At 43.9% G+C, this 19060-nt stretch overlaps 1 protein-coding gene across 9 annotated transcripts in view; it reads right to left on the minus strand.

Annotated features, from left to right (window-relative positions):
- The window catches only part of SEL1L3 (SEL1L family member 3), a 149603-nt gene that overhangs the window by 25372 nt on the left and 105171 nt on the right, over positions 1 to 19060 (minus strand). For 4 of the 9 annotated variants that reach the window (XR_007096387.1, XR_007096388.1, XR_001741182.3 and 1 more), the window contains exons 22-23: positions 18353 to 18455; positions 18199 to 18271 (exon numbers count right to left, since the gene is read on the minus strand). Coding sequence is in view for 5 of the 9 variants with exons in the window: in NM_001297592.2 (NP_001284521.1) it covers positions 9090 to 9229; positions 18199 to 18271; positions 18353 to 18455 (316 nt within the window). In the remaining 4 variants the exon portion in view is untranslated. Of the gene's footprint in view, positions 1 to 8097; positions 9230 to 16604; positions 17574 to 18198; positions 18272 to 18352; positions 18456 to 19060 lie in introns of those variants that run through there. The other 5 variants (NM_001297592.2, NM_001297594.2, NM_015187.5 and 2 more) reach the window with 2 other exon arrangements.

Genomic DNA, 19060 nt, shown 5'->3' on the forward strand with positions numbered 1-19060 from the left:
CAATGTACACACAGCTTCTCACAACAATGAACTATCTGGTCCAAAATGTGAATAGCACCAACGATGATTTAAAACCATGTGTGTATTCTGGCCAGGAGTGGTGGCTCACGCCTGTAATCCCAGCACCTTGGGAGGCCGAGGAGGGTAGATCACGAGGTCAAGAGATCGAGACCATCCTGGCCAACATGGTGAAATCCCATCGCTACTAAAAATACAAAAGTCAGCTGGGCATGGTGGCACGCGCCTGTAGTCCCAGCAGCTACTCGGGAGCTGAGGCAGGAGAATTGCTTGAACCCAGGATGCAGAGGTTGCAGTGATCCAAGATCGCACCACTGCACTCCAGCCTGGTGACAGAGAGAGACTCCGTCAAAAAAAAACAAAAAACAAAAAAAAAACCCATGTGTGTATTCTGAAAGAAAAAATAATGTGTGTGTGTGTGTGTGTGTGTGTGTGTGTGTAGAAACACAAATCTGTATATATACATATAAGCGTACATTCACACATGTACATATGTAGTATCCTTTAGGGGGTTGGTTTTTAACTTATACAACTAGTATTGAGATATAGCTCTGATTCAGTTTCTTTTTTTTTCATTCATCAATGTATTTTTTAACTGAATTAATTAATTAATTAATTTATTTAATAGAGACGAAGGTCTCACTATGTTGTCCAGGCTGGTCTCAAACTCCTGAGCTCAAGTGATCCTCCCCGCTCAGCCTCCCACTAAGTGCTAGAATTACAGGCGTGAGCCACCAAGTCTGGCTATTTCTAACCTTTTCAACATATCTGTTGCTGTGCATAAATCTAGTTCCTAGTGGCCGGGCATGGTGGCTCATGCCTGTAATCCCAGCACTTTGGGAGGCTGAGGCGGGTGGATTACCTGAGGTTAGGAGTTCAAGACCAGCCTGGACAACATGGTGAAACCTCATCTCTACTAAAAATACAAAAATTAGCTGGGCATGGTGGCCACACCTGTAATCCCAGCTACTTGGGAGGCTGAGACAAGAGAATCACTTGAACCCAGGAGGCAGAGGTTGCAGTGAGCTGAGATGGTGCCATTGCACTCTAGCCTGAGCTACAGAGTGAGACTCCATCTCAAAAAAAAAAAAAAAAATCTAGTTCCTAGCTTTCTTACTGGTGCATGGTTTTCTATGACAACCATCGAGCACATCCGTTCTCCTACTGATGGACACATCCAGGATCCAGGCTGCTCCAGCTTGCTCTCTCAAACAGTGCTGTTTGCATCACCCTCCTTCATCCATAGCACCTATTGGACCTGTGCAGAGTTTGGGAAGCTCATACTTGGGAGTGGGCTTTCTGACCCCTAAATGCTTTATTTCATTAAGTACTTTACTGCCACATTGTTCACCTGTTTACTCTGCCACCTGTGCAGTGAGACTGGAGAATTTGTTTCCCCACATCCTCAGGGTATTACATACATTTCTTTTCTTTTTTCTTTTTTTTCCTGAGATAAGAGTCTTGCTCTGTTGCCAGGCTGGAGTGCAATGGTGCGATCTCGGCTTACTGCAACCTCTGCCTCCTGGGTTCAAGGGATTCTCTTGCCTCAGCCTCCCAAATATCTGAAATTACAGGTGCCCCCCACCACGCCTGGCTAATTTTTGTGTTTTTAGTGGAGATGGGGTTTCACCATGTTGGCCAGGCTGGTCTTGAACTCCTGACCTCAAGTGATATGCCCACCTTGGTCTTCCAAAGTGCTGGGATTATAGACATGAGCCACTGCACCTGGCCATATTACCTATATTGCTTTCTTTCTTTTTTTTTTTTTTAGATGGAGTTTTGCTCTTGTCACCCAGACTGGAGTGCAGTGGTGCGATCTCGGCTCACTGCAACCTTCACCTCCCGGGTTCAAAAGATTCTCCTGTCTCAGTCTCCTGAATACCTGGATTACAGGCAGCCACCACCACACCCAGCTAATTTTTGTATTTTTAGTAGAGACGGAGTTTTACTATCCCTAGGCTGGTCTCGAACTCCTGACGTCAAGTAATCCGCCCGCCTCAGCCTCCCAAAGTGCTGGGATTACAGAGGTGAGCCACTGAGGCTGGCCATATTACCTGTATTTCTAATGTTTATGATGGGAGTGAAGTGACATCTTTGTATTTTAATTTGTATTTCTTTGACTTCAAGTTAGGTTGAGCAGCTCTTCATCTACTTTAAGTCTTTAGATTTTCTCCTTCCATGGATTGTTCCTGTGCTTTGAATATTTTTTCTACGAGGTTCTGCCCCTTGTTGTGGTTGATTAACATACATTCTTTGCACATTCTAGATGTTGATACTTCAGGTGTGGGATGTTGCAAATCTCACACCTAAATGCACCAACTTTGACAGTGGTGTTCTTTCTTGAACAGAAATCCTTTATTTTTGAAGAAGAGAAATCTGTATTTTTATATACTGCTTAAGAAATCTTTTGTCATTCAAAATGTATAAAATCTTCTTACATTTTCTTTGATTTATTATATTATATTATTATTATATATATTTTTTTTGAGATATTGCCCAGGCTCAATTGCAATGGCGTGATCTTGACTCACTGCAACCTCTGCCTCTTGGGTTCCAGTGAGTCTCCTGCCTCAGCCTCCCAAGTAGCTGGGATTACAGGCACCTGCCACCATGCCCGGCTAATTTTTTTTGTAGTTTTAGTAGAGATGGGGTTTCACCATGTTGGCCAGGCTGGTCTCGAACTCTTGTCCTCAAGTGATCTGCCTGCCTCGGCCTCCCAAATTGCTGGGATTACAAGCGTGAGCCACCGTGCCCGGCCAAATCTTACGTTTTCTATTACTAGCCTTGTAGTTCTGCCTTTCACAGTTAAGTCTTTAATTCATTTGAAGTATTTATTTATTTATTTATTGAGAGACAGTGTCTTGCTCTGTTGCTCAGGCTGGAGTGAAGTAGCACAATCTTGGCTCATTGCAGCCTCGATCTTCTGGGCTCAAGCAATTCTTCCACCTCAGCCTCCCGAGTATCTAGGACCACAGACATGCACCACCACAGCCGGCTAATTTTTGTAGTTTTTGTAGAGATGGGGTTTCACCATGTTGCCCTGGCTGGGCTCCACCTCCTGCACTCAAGCAATCTTGGTGCAATCAGGTGCGTGCCACCACACCTGGCTAATTTTTGTATTTCTAGTAGAGATGGGGTTTCACCACGTTGGCCAGGCTGGTCTCAAACTCCTGACCTCGTGATCTGCCTGCCTCAGCCTCTCAAAGTGCTGGGATGATAGGCGTGAGCCACCGCACCCGGCCAAGGAGTAGACTTTTTAAATTTCCTTGATAAACATCTAATGAGTTCATAGTTTGGTTAATTTCTAGACACTTTACAACTGTGTCATTACTGTAAATGAAATCTTACTTACATTTAATATTACTTAGTATTTAATTTTCTAGTTATTGCTGGTGTAGGAAAACACTAATTTTTTTAAATTGGCATTTTGTCTTGCAACTTTGTTGGATACTTTACTGAGACTCCAAATGACCTACTGCTTGGCATCTCCCTCTATCAGGCAGCAGAAAGAAAGACTACCAGAGTACCGCTTCCCCAGCTCCCAAAAGCTTGGAAATGATTAAGCAGTAAATGAATTTGGAGATCTCTCTCAGACTTGTCACAATGAAGTCATTAAGAATGAAGAGAAGGAGTTTCAAACCACGAGTTATGAACCCAAATGCCTGCATAAAGGAATAAATGGACTAGGTGTAAAGCAATAGGGAATGGTGGTGACTGCGGCAAATCGGAAAGGACAGACTCTAACTAAAAAGGGCAGACCTAGTCAGCCTCAGCTAACTCTTGCCATGCAACAATGAAAGCCCAGTTTTTTCACATCATTAGAGTTTTTAGGAGAAGCCCCAAATCCTTGATTTTACAATGTTAGCAATTAATTGAAAAATTTAAAAATATTGAGTGGGCCAAAAAAATTATATCTGTAGGATGGATTTGTTTCAACCTACTGGTCTGCAACTTATGGTCTAAGAATGTCCAAAGTGGAGGGGACAATAGGGAAGTAACTGAATATCACCTCTGTACCCTACCCTCTGTTAACCCAAAATATCTGAGACAGGTCTCAGTCCATTTAGGAAGTTTATTTTGCCAAAGTCAAGGATGTGCACCATGACACAGTCCCAGAAAGTCGTGACGACATGTGCCCAAGGTGGTCAGGGCACAGCTTGATTTTATACATTTTAGGGAGACATGAGACACCAATCAATATATGTAAGACGAACACTGGTTCAGTCTGGAAAGGCAGGACCACTCGAAGTTGGGAGGGGGCTTCCAGGTCACAGATAGGCGAGAGACAAACTGTTGCATTGTTTTGAGTTTCTGATTAGCTTTTCCAAAGGAGCCAATCAGATACGCATTTATCTCAGTGAGCAGAGGGATGAGACTTTGAATAGACTGGGAGGCAGGTTTCCCTTAAGCAGTTCCCAGCTCGACTTTTCCTTTTAGCTTAGTGATTCTGGGGTCCCAATATTTATTTTCCTTTCACACCTCCTACTTCCTTTTTCCTTCCCTCCTACCCCACGTTGCCTTTACTGTGCAGGGTTCTATTCCAGCCAGCTTGGACACTAGGCTTGTGGAAATTCAGTTTAGAATTTAAAGAGAGAAGAGGGAGCTTGGGGCTTGAGAAGGTGTGTGCCGGACCCAGATCATACAGCCTTGAGAAATCCCCAGAGGACAGATGTCTAAGGTGGGACATGAATTGACAATTAGCTTACCAGCTTCACCTGAACCCAGGTTTGACCCTAGAACCATGTCAGCATTTCCCAACCTCATTTGGAGCTGAGCAGACCAGGATGGCTCCCGTGAATGAGTCCATATGCTGGACCAGAGCCAGCCTCCCATGGTGTAAGGGCTGTTGGTGGTAAGGGCTGAATTGTGTCCTGCCACCAAATTCTCAGACTGAAGTCCTAACACCGAGTACCTCAGAATGTGACAGTATTTGAAGATAGGGCCTTTTAAGAGTTAAGAGTTAATTAAGGTAAAATGAGGTCATATGTGTGAGTCTTTTTTTTTTTTTTTTTTGAGACGGAGCCTCGCTCTGTCACCCAGGCTGGAGTGCAATGGCATGGCACGATCTCAGCTCACCGCAACCTCCACCTCCCAGGTTCAAGCGATGCTCATGCCTCAGCCTCCTGAGTAGCTGGGATTAGAGGCGTGCACCACCACGCCCAGCTAATTTTTGTATTTTTAGTAGAGACGAGGTTTCACCACGTTGGCCAGGCTGGTCTCAAATTCCTGACCTCAAGAGATCCAGCTGCCTCTGCCTCCGAAAGTGCTGGGATTACTGGTGTGAGCCACTGCGCGCTGGCACCCATGGCAGGCATTCATTAATTAGAGGCCAGGGGTACTGTTTAACATTCTGCAATGCACAAGACAACCCTGCACCCCAACAAATGTGTGTGGGTCTTAATCCAATGTGGCTGGTGTCCTTATGAGAAAAGACTAAGACACAGACACACGCAGAAGAGACACCAACCATGTGAAGACACCGAAAGGTGACGGCCATCTACAAGCCAAGGAGAGAGGACTTAGAAGGAATTAATCCTGCTGACGCCTTGATCTTGGACTTCCAGCCTCCAAAAGTGTGAGAAAATAAATTTCTGTTGTTCAAGCTACCCAGTATTTGGTACTTGGTTATGGCAGCCCCAGCAAACTAATACATTAGGGTTTTTGTTTGTTTGTTTGTTTTTTAAGAAATTGAGGTACAGAGTTGGGTGTGAAGATTTCTGGGGATCAGTGTTGGAAAATCCTATAAGAACACGAGGAAAGGCCAGGCGTGGTGGCTCAAACCTGTAATCCCAGCACTTTGGGAGGCTGTGGTGGATGGATCACTTGAGGTCAGGAGTTCAAGCCCAGCTTAGCCAACATGGCGAAAACCCACCTTTATGAAAAATACAAAAATTAGGTGGGCATGGTGGCACATGCCTGTAATCCCAGCTACTTGGGAGGCTGAGGCTGGAAAATCTCTTGAGCCTGGGAGGCAGAGGATGCAGTGAGCCAAGATCATGCCACTGTCCTCCAGTTTGGGTGACAGAGCGAGACTCAGTCTCAAAAAAAAAAAAAAGAAAGTGAGGAAGGCAGAATTGAGCAGAGTGAGAAGCTGCATTCAGTGAGGTTGCAACCAACGTAGAGTTTTGGAGCTGGGATGCCCTGCCGTTCAGCACTGTTCCAAATTGAGGCAAGGGACCTTTGTTTTCCTACATCAGTCATTCTCAAGGTGAAGGGAGTGTGATTTTGCTCCCAAGGAGGTGTTTGGCTGTCACACTGGGAAGCAGGGGTGATGAGTGCCCACTGCAGCATTCATTAGAGGCCAGAGATGCTGTTTAGCATCTACAATACACAAGACAACCCTGCCCCACAACAAAGAACCATCCAGCTCAAATGTCCATAGTGCTGAGATTGAGAAACTCTGCCTACATCAAGGAGCCACTGGCCACGGGCTGCTCTTGCAAGGGTATGCCCTTGGGCAGATCCCAGCAGCTTAGGGCAATTCCCAGTGTGGCGTGTGGCTGTGAGCAGTCAGCAGCTCATGTTCCCAACAGATTGGAAATGGGTGTGTTTGCCATGGAGAGAGGATCTCAGCAGAGCAGAGTCACTCTCTGGCCCCTCAGACTGCTCTTTCTTATGTTATAAAAATAATGACCTACCATATTTAGGACCTGATATAGTTTGGATATTTGCTTTGCTCAAATCTCAGTGTTGAAATGTAATCCCCCATGTTGGAGGTGGGCCTTGGCAGGAGGTGATTGGATAATGGGGATGGATTTCTCATGAATGGTTTAGCACCGTCCTGTTGATGCTGTCCTCATGATAGTGAGCTCCCATGAGAGCAGGTTGTTTAAAAGTGTGTGGCAAAAAATATAAAAAATAAAAATAAAAAAGCATATAATAGGCCAGGCGCGGTGACTCACGCCTATAATCCCAGCACTTTGGGAGGCTGAGGCAGGCGGATTGCCCGAGCTCAGGAATTCAAGACCAGCCTGGGCAACATGGCAAAACACTGTTTCTACTAGAAATACAAAAAATTAGCTAAGCATGGTGGCACATGCTTGTAGTCCCTGCTACTCGGAGGCTGAGGCACCAGAACCTAGGAGGGGGAGGTTGCAGTGAGCCGAGATCGTGCCACTGCACTCCAGCCTGGGCGACAGAGCAATATTATCTAAATATATATATATATATATATTTAAATATATATATTCAAATGTATATATTTAAATATATATATTCTTTCTATATATAGATAGATATAGATCTCTATCTATAGAGAGAAACAAAAATAAAATAAATAGAAGTCTGTGGCACCTGCCTCAGTCTCTCTTGCTCCTGCTCTAGCCACGTAAGACATGTCTGCTTCTCCTTCGCCTTCTGCCATGATTGAAAGTTTCCTGAGACCTTCCCAGAAGTCAAATAGCTGTCAGCGCCTTGTTTCCTGTACAGCCTACAGGACTCTGAGCCAATAAAACCTCTTTTCTTTATAAATTACCCTGTCTCAAGTATTTCGTTATAGCAATGCAAGAATGACCTAATACAAGACTCTATCCTGTAGGCTTTACATATATTATCTCGTGTAAGCCTCATAAAAATCCCAAGAGGTAGTTTTCATCGCCCCATTTTATAGTATGGGAATCTGAGACTTAGAGAAGGTTAATCACTCACCTAAGATTACTGAGCTTGTCAGTTACAGGACCAGAATTTGAATCCAGGACTGTCAGCCTTCAATCTCTGGCTTTTTTGCAAATAGGAGGGACAACATTTGCTAAAACAAGAGCAACACTCATAGGAGAAGGAGGAGGATGAACTACAAGCTTAGCCTGGAATGAACATAGAGCCCAGGCTCAGAGCAGCACAAAGCCCTGAAACAATGTCTGATACTGTGCGAACATTCTAAGGCCAGACCTGAGCTCAGGATTCCTGGAGAGAAGCCTCCTGCCACCTTCCTATCCACAAATATTAATGGGTTATGAAAAATAAGCCCTCTCACCAGGAGGACTTTTCTTTTTTCCCTCCTCAAGGAGAATATATGGACCTTTAGACTTTATATGGTGACAGTAATTATAAAAAAGGGGAAAAAAAACCACTTTCTGGTAGTCAATTGTATAAAAATAATTTTATTTACTACTGTAAATAAAGTAGTGCAAAGAGTAGTTTGGACCCACAATATTGCATTACTGATTTATTCACTACCTTAGCAGCATGTAGTATACAGACATTCTGCTCTTCCTCTTCCTCTCTAACACACACACACACACACACACACACATATCCCTGTACAGACTCACGCAGGCATGAGGGGTAGGGATGAAACTATAAGCTAGAGGCTTACTTGCTGCATATTCCGTTGCTGCCAGTCTATTCTAACGTGTAATTCATGGAGAAGACTACAGTTAAGTACTAAGAATCTTCTAAATGTAATTTCATGGATTGCAATTGAAATGTAAAAGATATCCGACAATGCCATTAAATGATTCGGAAGCACTAGGACCCTAGAAAAATTCAAGGAGAAAAATGTAAACCAATTTACAAAGCTATTGCCCTCCCTGCATTTCCAGGCACAAACAATTTATTTCAAGGTGCCTTATAACTGCTAGGTCTTGGAAGTCAAAGAGAAATCTATCAATTCAGCTTTGAGGAACAGGGCTGTGGCAAGCACAGGTACCAAAATATTATCCACCTTGTAGAGTAGTCATAATTTTCTGTTCTTCAATAAAGGGATGAAGCACGCACTGTGATTCTTAAGACACATCTTAGTGTATAAGAATCCAGATCTGCCGTAGGGCATGCTATGACTCCTAATACATACAATCACTAGAACAAAAGTCTGTGATGGCCCAGTAAACTTCCCCACATGCCCTATGATCAAGATGTTCCTTGTATGTGTTTGATGACCTTTGGTATTACCACTGCCTGATCTGGGTACTTCCTTGTAATTTGACTTTAAAAAAAATGACACCAATTGCAAAATTTGCATCCAGTTGACAAGACATTTAAGGTGTTTATCAGGATCATGCCCTGGCCCCAGCTTCCCAATACCAGCTGTTGAAAAGATTCTCTCTCATCTGGAGAGAACTGGAGTGCACAGTTCACCCACGTGGCTCCGGGTTATTAGTTACTGTGGGCTGGTCTTGGTCAGAGGCATCTGCAGCTGGAGTCACAGCTGGACTTGCAGTGGACGTGGCAGTGTCTGGGGAGGCCTGGGATGGTCTTGGAGGGGGATCGCTTGCTGCAGAGACACATGCACAACAGGTGCTGAATACTCAAAACAGTGCATTCAGAATGTACAACCACACCTAGAGACTCTGGCAAGCCAGGAGAGATGCATCTAGTCTAATGAACCTGACACTAACTAGCCAGGCAACTCTGGACCCGTTATCTAAGTTTAAGAAGATGCCACCACATGCTGACAATCTGATTTCTAAATAAAAACCCTTCAAGAGTTTCACCTCCAAGTGCCGATGCTCATTCCTAAGGGGACATTCTAGGAAGTTTAAGAATGGGTCCCCAAACTTCTGGCTTTTCTGGATATATGCGGGAATTCTTCGGGCCCCTTCCAGTACCTACAGAAGAGGTCGTGGATTCCAACACTCTTCTGAAAGAATAGGAGAGTGATGGGGAGGGGCAGGATGTTGTAGAATGATGTACCCTTTCTAAGGTCATTAAAGCCACTACTCTGGCAGGTGATCTAGTGATTAGAGCCCCAGTGATGAGGTACAAAGACCATTTTGCAGCAGTCAGGAGAACTGGGTTGGACAAGCCTCATTTATCTGCTGCTAACAAGGGACCTTGGGATAGGTACAGATGGCAGACATTTTGGTTGTAAAATGTTTGAGTCTCCCGGGCCTCGGTTTCATCACTTGTGAATTGAGAGTCTTGGATTAGATGATCTTGAAACCCACTTTGATCCTAAGATTTACCTTCCTGATGATCTCTGAGGAAGTTAATGAAGTACTAAGGCATGTATTTTCAAGCTCAGGGAAATGTTTAAATCACCATGGTAACAAGATAAATCAGCAATGAGTTTTCTGATTTAAAAAAAAAAAGTGCCAATGTGTAAATGTAGAAAGAATGCATAATTAGCATTGCCACCATTTAAATCTTTGGTAAGAGCATAGTAAAAATGTTTGATGTTTCTACAGGAAGTTAGTCATTATCTGTGTGAGGACTCCCCTTCTTCCACTGGGGGGTTTGCAATCACTGCACAAGCCCCCCACAGCCCGGCCTAATTTTAAAGTGGCCTCTTTGTCTCTGCTCATCTGGAATGTGTGCTAATTTTATTATTGGACTAGAATCAAGGTAACCAGGACAATAAGCATGTTGTTTAAAAAATTACAGAGTATATTCCAGAGCCAAATAGGAGTGATTTGTGAATTATTTGCTGCCTGGGGGACCATTTTCTGTACATTAGTGAGAAATATCACGAACTGGCCCAAACTGCAGCCCATGGGCCAAACGTAGTCATTGCTTGTTTTTGTACGGCTCGTGGTTTAAAAAACAGTTTTTACAATTTTACACAGTTGAACAGAAAAAGAGTAATATTTCGCGACATGTGAAAAATATATGAAATTCAAATTTTGCATCCATAGTAAAGATTTATTAGAAACCCAGCCACAGGCCGGGCGCCGTGGCTCACGCCTGTAATCCCAGCACTTCGGGAGGCCCGGACGGCCGGATAACCTGAGGTCAGGAGTTTGAGACCAGGCTGGCCAACATGGTGAAACCCTCTCTCTACTAAAAATACAAAAATTAGCCGGGCGTGGTGGCACGTGCCTGTAATCCCAGCTACTCGGAAGGCTAAAGCCGGAGAATTGCTTGAACCTGGGAGGCCGGAGGTTGTGGTGAGCTGAGATCTTGTCACTGCACACCAGCCTGGGCGACAGAGCGAGACTCCATCTCAAAAAAAAAAAAAAAAAAAAAGAAAGAAAAAAGAAACCCAGCCACAATGGCTGCTTTTCAGCTACCGGCTGAGTGGAGTAGTTGTGACCAAGACAGCCCCGAGGGCCCAAAATATTTATTATCTGGTCCTTTACAGAAAAAGTTTGCTGATCTCTGCTGTTAGGAAGAACATCTGCTTGCCGACTGACCAGATGGAAGCAAAAAAGAAAGAATACGTGGGACTATGTTGGATTCACATGTGAAATGAGAGAATGTTTGCACAAAGGAGGTATACAGGGGAAAACCCTAGAAATTGTATGCTATAAGTAAGATCATGCCTACTTCATCTGGGCCTCTGGATCTAGCAGGGACCAGATTTGTGTCACTGAAACACTCTTCAGGAGTGGAGATACTGGTAAGATGTCAAGCTAATGAGACAGGACAGAGTACAACCTCCTCATGAAATCTCTCTGACTATAAGGCTACTGCTTTCTTCATAAGCACTACTTTGTGACATTTTACTATAATTTTAGTAGAAACCTCATTAGCTGGAAATGTAGATGACAGGAAACAGCAGGAAAAGGTTTAATTAATCTTATACATATCACCATACTCTTTTTAAAAGAACATTAGGCTAACCACTTAGCTGGAAGGAATGAGTTGTCTTAAATTATAAATGTATTGAATAGGCTGACGTTGGTTTAAAACGTTACCTAGTTGTACCGAGGAGCTAGCAGTTCTGCAAATCTTGCTCTATATGGTGTATTCTATTGAGACATAAAGTTGACATGATACTAGTAAGACAGGGCTCTTTCTTTGAAATAGTGACTTCTATTTTCCACTTCTGTTCTTGCCTTTAGCTTCCTTCAGGCAGCTGACGGTCAGGCTCTGTGATTTTTTGGTCTCAGGGGAGGTTTGTGGCCAGGCAGAAGTGGAGATGGCTCCAGACATATACTTTGGGATTTTTTGTTTTTCAAAAGCCTGATCCATTAAGGCAATTATGCTTGGTGTACCCTCCCAAAGAGTGGACAAGGAGAGTGCTTTTGAGATGCAACAGGTGAGGAAAGGAGCTTTTTGGAGTCCTTGGGTTGTACCCACAGTACCCTTGGGTGCCCCATCAGCAATCAGAAATGAAGACTTGGGAGAAGAAGGGCTAATGACGCTTGGCTTTGGCAAAGATGACGGAGTTCCCAGGTGACCCAGAAGCTGCAAAGCCAATGGACCTAGGGGAACAGTGTAGGCCCAGGGTGATGTGTGTTCTGCTATCAGGCTGGTGACTATCTGAGTGACCCTAGGACCACCCAGACCCAGGGACCTTTCCACCACCGTGGGAGGTATAAGCAGCAAGAAAGACTGAGCTGCCTGGTGGAATGCGAGCCAGGAGTCAAACACAAGTTCCCTTGAAGGAAAGAATACATATATTTATATGTATTCTTTATATATATAAATAAATATATGTTCTTTATATATAAGTATATATTCTTTATATATATAAGTATATATGATGAAGATCAAGACATTGACTAATCTATTGAAAGTATCAATTGAGCTATCTTGGTATTTTTTATTGATCAGTCAATGTTTTTGTTGAAATGCTTTAAAAAATAGTTGAATGGGCTGGGCACGGTGGCTCACGCCTGTAATCCCAGCACTTTGGGAGGCCAAGGCAGGCAGATCACGAGGACATGAATTGGAGACCAGCCTAACCAACATGGTGAAACCCTGTCTCTACTAAAAATACAAAATTTAGCTGGGTGTGGTGGCGTGCATCTGTAATCTCAGCTACTCAGGAGGCTGAGGCAGGAGAATCGCTTGAACCCGGGAGGCGGAGGTTGCAGTGAGCCGAGATCATGCTACTGCACTCCAGCTTGGGCGACAGAGTAAGACTCCATCTCAAAAAAAAAAAAAAAATAGTTGAATGGGCAAGGTGCGGTGGCTAACGCCTGTAATCCCAATACTTTGGGAGGCTGAGTCGGGCGGATCACTTGAGGTCAGGAGTTCAAGACCAGCACAGCCAACATGGTGAAACCCAGTCTCTACTAAAAATACAAAAATTAGCTTGGTGTGGTGGCAGGTGCCTGTAGTCCCAGCTACTCAGGAGGCTGAGGCAGGAGAATGGCATGAACCCCGGAGGCGGTGGTTGCAGTGAGCCGAGATAGCGCCACTGCACTCCAGCCTGGGCAATAGGGTGAGACTCCATCTCCGAAAAAAAAAAAAAAAAAAAAGTTGAATGTTTTAGAAAGAGTCCTAACAGCAAAGAAAAACATACTAGGCTTTGGTCATTATGTCTGTTTCTGAGGTAAATCAAGCTATTTATGTGTGGGTATTACCTAGTGTCAGCATGCTTTAATTACAGGTCCAGTGCCCCAGAGGACATACTCCTTGAGAACTACCAGCTAACATTTGTGGTTTTGTTTTGTTTTTGAGACAGAGTTTCACTCTTGTTGCCCAGGCAGGAGTGCAATGGAGCAATCTGGGCTCTCTGCAGCCTCTGCCTCCCAGCTTCAGGTGATTCTCCTGCCTCAGCCTCCCAAGCAGCTGGAATTACAGGCATGCACCACCATGCCCCGCTAATTTTTGTATTTTTAGTAGAGATGGGGTTTCACCATGTTGGTCAGATTGGTCTAAAACTCCTGATCTTAGGTGATCTGCCTGCCTTGGCCTCCCAAAGTGCTAGGCGTGAGCCACTGCGCCCAGCCCATTTGTGGAGTTTTAAACACTTTACATTGTGTTACCTCATTTGGTTATCTCAACTACAACAGGCAGTGGATGTACTACTATTTCTGCTATTTACGGAAGAGGGAACTGAGGCACAGATAGGCTCCTTCCTTTGCCCAAGGTCACATAGCTAGCTACTGGCAGGGCCAGAATCTTAGCAGTGTGCCTCCCACACCGATGCTGTTAACCACCGTCCTGCGCGGCTAGCCTTCTGAATGCAGGACAATTTAATGTGGCAAATGCCATGATGTGTCAACTATATATCACAGAGCATATAAACTCAGGAGGAAAATGAAGGTAGTTGGAGCTGAACGCAAAATGGATGGACAGCTCAACTGCAAGTCTTGACTATAAATCATTAATTTTTAAATACAACTGACTGGAAAAAATGCAAATCACAAAATGACAAAGCTCTCTAACTTATAGCAACAATCCTCACCCAAAGCTGCTGACGGGAGGCTCCTAACTCTCAAATACATTTCCTCTTTTTTACAGTCAGTCAGCACCCAGAGTTCATTATTAAGTTTGTTTCACAACGCCATGGCTGCTACATGCACCCATCCCTGTCTTCCCCCAGCTGTGGGGCAGGTCTCAGGACCTTGTGCACCAGCTCACTGGGGAGACACCAAATGGTAGAAACTTGGTCTCTGAGCAGCATCGCCTTTGCAGCAGCTTCTCCTCACCTCCTCCATGCCTCGATTTCCCTGCCCCATCATCCCATCAGCTTCACTGTACTGCTGGAGTAACTTCCTACTTAAAAATTATTGATAGGCCAGGCACAGTGGCTTATGCCTGTAGTCCCAGCACTTTGGGAGTCCAAGGCAGGTAGATCCCTTGAGGTCAGGAGTTCAAGACCAGCCTGGCCAACATGGCGAAAGCCCATCTCTACTAAAAGTACAAAAATCAGCTGGGGGTGGTGGCGTGCACCTGTAATTCCAGCTACTCAGGAGGCTGAGGCAGGAGAATCACTTGAATCCGAGAGATGGAGGTTGCAGTGAGCTGAGATTGTACCACTGTACTCCAGCCTGGGCGACAGTGAGACTCCGTCTCAACATAAATAAATAAATAAATAAATAAATAAATAAATAAGGTCAGTTGCAGTGGCTCACACCTGTAATCCCAGCACTTTGGGAGGCTGAGGTGGGTGGATCACCTGAGGTCAGGAGTTCGAGACCAGCCTGACCAACACAGAGAAACCCTGTCTCTACTAAAAACACAAAATTAGCCAGGCGTGGTGGCGCATGCCTGTATTCCCAGCTACTCGGGAGGCTGAGGCAGAAGAATCACTTGAACCCAGGAGGTGGAGGTTGTGGCGAGCTGAGATTGCACCATTGCACTCCAGCCTGGGCAACAAGAGCGAAAGTCAATCTCAAAAATATATAAAATAAATAAATAAATAAATATAAAAATTATTGACAACTTTTTTTTTTTTTTTGACACAGGGTCTCACTCTGTTGCCCAGGCTGGAGCGTGGTGGTGCAATTTCAGCTCACTGCAACCTCCGTCTCCGGGGTTCAAGCGATTCTCATGCCTTGGCTTCCCAAGTAGCTGGGATTACAGGAGTGAACCACCATACCCGTCCCATATTTCAACTCTTAACATTAGTTCTAACAGGGCTGGCAGGTACCACTGTCGGGGCACATTTTGGAAATGTGTGGAGTTTTTTTCTTTTTCTTTTTTTTTATACTTTTCGGCCCTTACTACTCAAAGTATGCTCTTACTAAACAGCAGTGTGGGCATCATCTAGGAGCTTGCTAGAAATGCCAAATCTCAGGGCTTACCTACTGAACCAAAATCTACTGAACTAGAATCTGCATTTAATAAGAATGCTGGATGATTCATATGCACATTAAAATTTATAAGCACTGGGCTAGAATGTACTTATTGAAATCAATATTATTTTATTACAATTAGTTTCTTTTTATTTCCCCTTTATATTGCTGTTAGGGCCCTATATTGATTTTTAAAAATGTGTGTAGATGGGTTAATTATCATGAATTTCATTTCAAGGTACTAAAAAATATGTTTCAAAATATTTCCTATGTGAGAGGCAATGGGTTTGAGGCAGATGACAATCACTGTTTTAAAGTATTGTGATGCTGAAAAGAAGTTCGAAATTCTGCTGCCCTACATCTATTCTTAATCTTTTTTTTTAACTTCTACTTTTTTAGAGACTGGGTCTCATTCTATTGCCCAGGCTGGAGTGCCATGGTGTGATCATAGCTCACTGCAGCCTTGAACTTCTGGGTGCAAAAAATTCTCCTGCCTCAGCCTCCCTAGTAGCCAGGACTGCAGGCATGTGCAATGACACCTGGCTAATTTTTATTTTATTTTATTTTATTTTATTTTATTTTAGAAATGGGGTCTCGCTATGTTGCCCAGGTTGGTCTCAAACCCCTGAGCTCAAGTGATCCTCCCTCCTGGGCCTGTCAAAATGTTGGAATTATAGCAGTAAGCCACTGCGTCTGGTCTCCTGGTCTTTATTTCTTTATTTGGGCAAGCTACTTCGCCTCTCTGCCTCAGTTTCCTCATCTGTAAAGTAAAGGGCATAGAATTAAATAATTTTTATGATTGATCCTATCCAGACATAGCCTTCTTTAGGCTGGTCAAGCAGGAAGTAGGTATGTGCTGGAGAAAGCAATTGAAAAAGTTTGAGAAAATGACGAAAATGTATGAAAGAACTATGGGGATATAGGAAGAGCAAAACATCACAGGACAGGAGAGACACGGAGACAAGAATGTGGAGAGACTGATAATGAAGGCATGGAGACAGAAAAAAGAGATGACTTCTGATCAAAGCAATTCCACCCGCCCATGAATTTTCATGGCTACCAGCTGGCATAAAATCACAAAGACAAATTTCAGCTCCTCTAACGGAACTGCATTTGTAATAATCATCACAATATTTCTACAGAGTAAAAATGACAAAGACAATTTGAAATGGAAAACACTGACAAGATGCAAAATAAATGACTATACCTGGCAACAAATTTAAGGATGGGACAGAATTTGCATGAGTGAAGTTTATTAACCAGCAGACTATGGGGCATCAAGCCTGGAAGGTTTTGATGGGTCCTTGTTAACCTCCTCAGGTAAATCAGAGAGAAATGATTTCGCATTAGCTTCTTGCAACAGTGACTTCCTTCTCACCGTGGAAGAGACGCTGACGTGCACCCCTTTCACTTTCCATTATCTGCTACAGAAATAACAGCTACGCAAATGCTCCAATGCCATGTCCAGTCCTAATCTACCCATTTGTAAATGTCTCTGTTTGCCTTCATGAGTTATTATACCCTTTTGTAGCCGTCCGAGATGGTAAAAAATCAGTTTTCTTGTCTCTTGAGAGACCGGAGTCGTCTGTGGGTGTGAGTACCTACTATGCATGAGTTATCACAAATGACACGACTGGGGCCTTCCTCTTACTCAGCTTATGGTCTAATAGAGGAGTAAATGTAAGAGCTAACATTTATTGAGAAGGTTTTATATGCCAGATAAATATAACAGCTAACGTTTAACTACAGCCGTCATTTTGGTAAGTATCTTACGTGCATTTTTTTTCACTTAATATTTTTTTCATTTTATGTTCCTAGGAAGTAGCTACTCTCATAACCTCATTGTATTGATGAGAAATTTGGGGATCAGGAAGGTTAAATAACTTGCCATGAGTCATACAGCTAATGAGTAGCCAAGCCTGGACTCTAAGCCCAAACAGAAGCAAGCAGGGCTCCCTTGTCCTTAACTATTCTATACTGGCTCAGAAAAATAACAATGATTAGTGGAAACCATGCTCAGCTAAATGCCCACTTTACGATTCCTGCTCAGTCCCTCCCTCTGAGTCCGTGTGGCCGAGGATTTTTATTCATTACGAGTGTTTGTTTATCCTCTTACACATCTGATTGCTTGACTGAAATGAAAGGGAAGACTTCATGCTGCCAGGAGCTTTGGCGCTGTGTTTTCAGGCACACAGAGGCAGAATTCTGACAGATAAATTTTCAATGGAAGAAATTGTATTAGGTCAGTTTCTTAGGCTTTTTAAAGAAAGTCCTTATTTTGAGGCTGGGTGCAGTGGCCCACGCCTGTAATCCCAGCACTTCAGGAGGATGAGGCAGCCAGATCACCTGAGGTCAGGAATTCGAGACCAGCCTGGCCAACATGGTGAAACCCCGTCTCTACTAAAAATACAAAAATTAGCCGGGTGTGGTGGCGCACACCTGTAGTCCCAGCTACTCGGGAGGGTGAGACAGGAGAATTGCTTGAACCCAGAAGGCAGAGGTTGCAGTGAGCTGAGATCACACCACTGCACTCCAGCCTGGGCGACAGAACGAGACTCCATCTCAAAAAAAACAAAATAAAATAAAAAATAAAATCCTTATTTTGAAAAATACAATAGTAACTTTGTGGCCTCCCACCGGCCAGGAATTTCATACACCTCTAGAAGGATTCCCACCCTGTGAAGACCACCCTAGGGATAGGAGATAGCATGACCAACAGCACCAGGAGGGAAAACACAATTTTTCCAGTAGACCAAAAAAAAAAAAAAAAAAAAAAATCCCTGCTTTTTTTTTTTTTAATATATTGCTTTCGCTTTTTATAAATCTTTACCTGAGACAGACTGGAAATACTGCACAGTCCAGGCGATCAATATGGATAGCAGAAAGGTTCCCAGAAAGTAGATCTGCAAACATCAGAAGCACGCATTAGTGACTGACAAAGGGCAGGGGCCACAAGGGTGGGGCCGGTGGGACATGAAACCTACCAGGGCTGAGTGCAGGATAGCACCCCAGAGAAGCCGCAAGTGCAGGTAAAGCCAGGCCAAGGAGCAGGGGCTGAAGGACTCCTCGTTACTGTGGCTCCAGCACCTGCAGACAAAGCCCAGGGCATCTTGACGTGTCAGCCAACTTTGGTGGCACGACTCAGGACTGGCATTTTCAGATCCACAAACCTACATTCTTCTGCTTTTGGACAAATGAGCACACTCAACTGACAAAGATGAGAGACAAAGAAATAAAGCCAGTGGCCAAATAAGTGGTTTGGCCTGATCTGAAATTCTAGAATCCCAGTAGAAATTTTAGAAAAAGGTCAGTTTTGTGCTTAATTAAGAGTCAAGTCTGTTCTGCTGTGATGACAGCAAAAACTTAAAAATAAATAAAATAAAAGTCAAGCAAGACGCTGAAGAACAGGACCCACTAGAACAGTATTTCTGTTTAAAGCACAGATGTAGGAATGCCTCATCTTTCAAAAAAGCATTGGCTATTTACGCAGGGCATGGTGGCTCACACCCGTAATCCCAGCACTTAGGGAGGCTGAGGCAGGTGGATTACTTGAGGCCAGGAGTTCGAGACCAGCCTAGCCATCATGGTGAAACCCTGTCTCTATTAAAAACACAAAAATTAGCCTGGTGTGACAGTGCACACCTGTAATCCCAGCTACTTAGGAGGCTGAGGCATGAGAATCACTTGAACCC

This window comes from Homo sapiens, chromosome 4, assembly GCF_000001405.40.
Source record: "Homo sapiens chromosome 4, GRCh38.p14 Primary Assembly".
Taxonomy (NCBI): domain Eukaryota; kingdom Metazoa; phylum Chordata; class Mammalia; order Primates; family Hominidae; genus Homo; species Homo sapiens.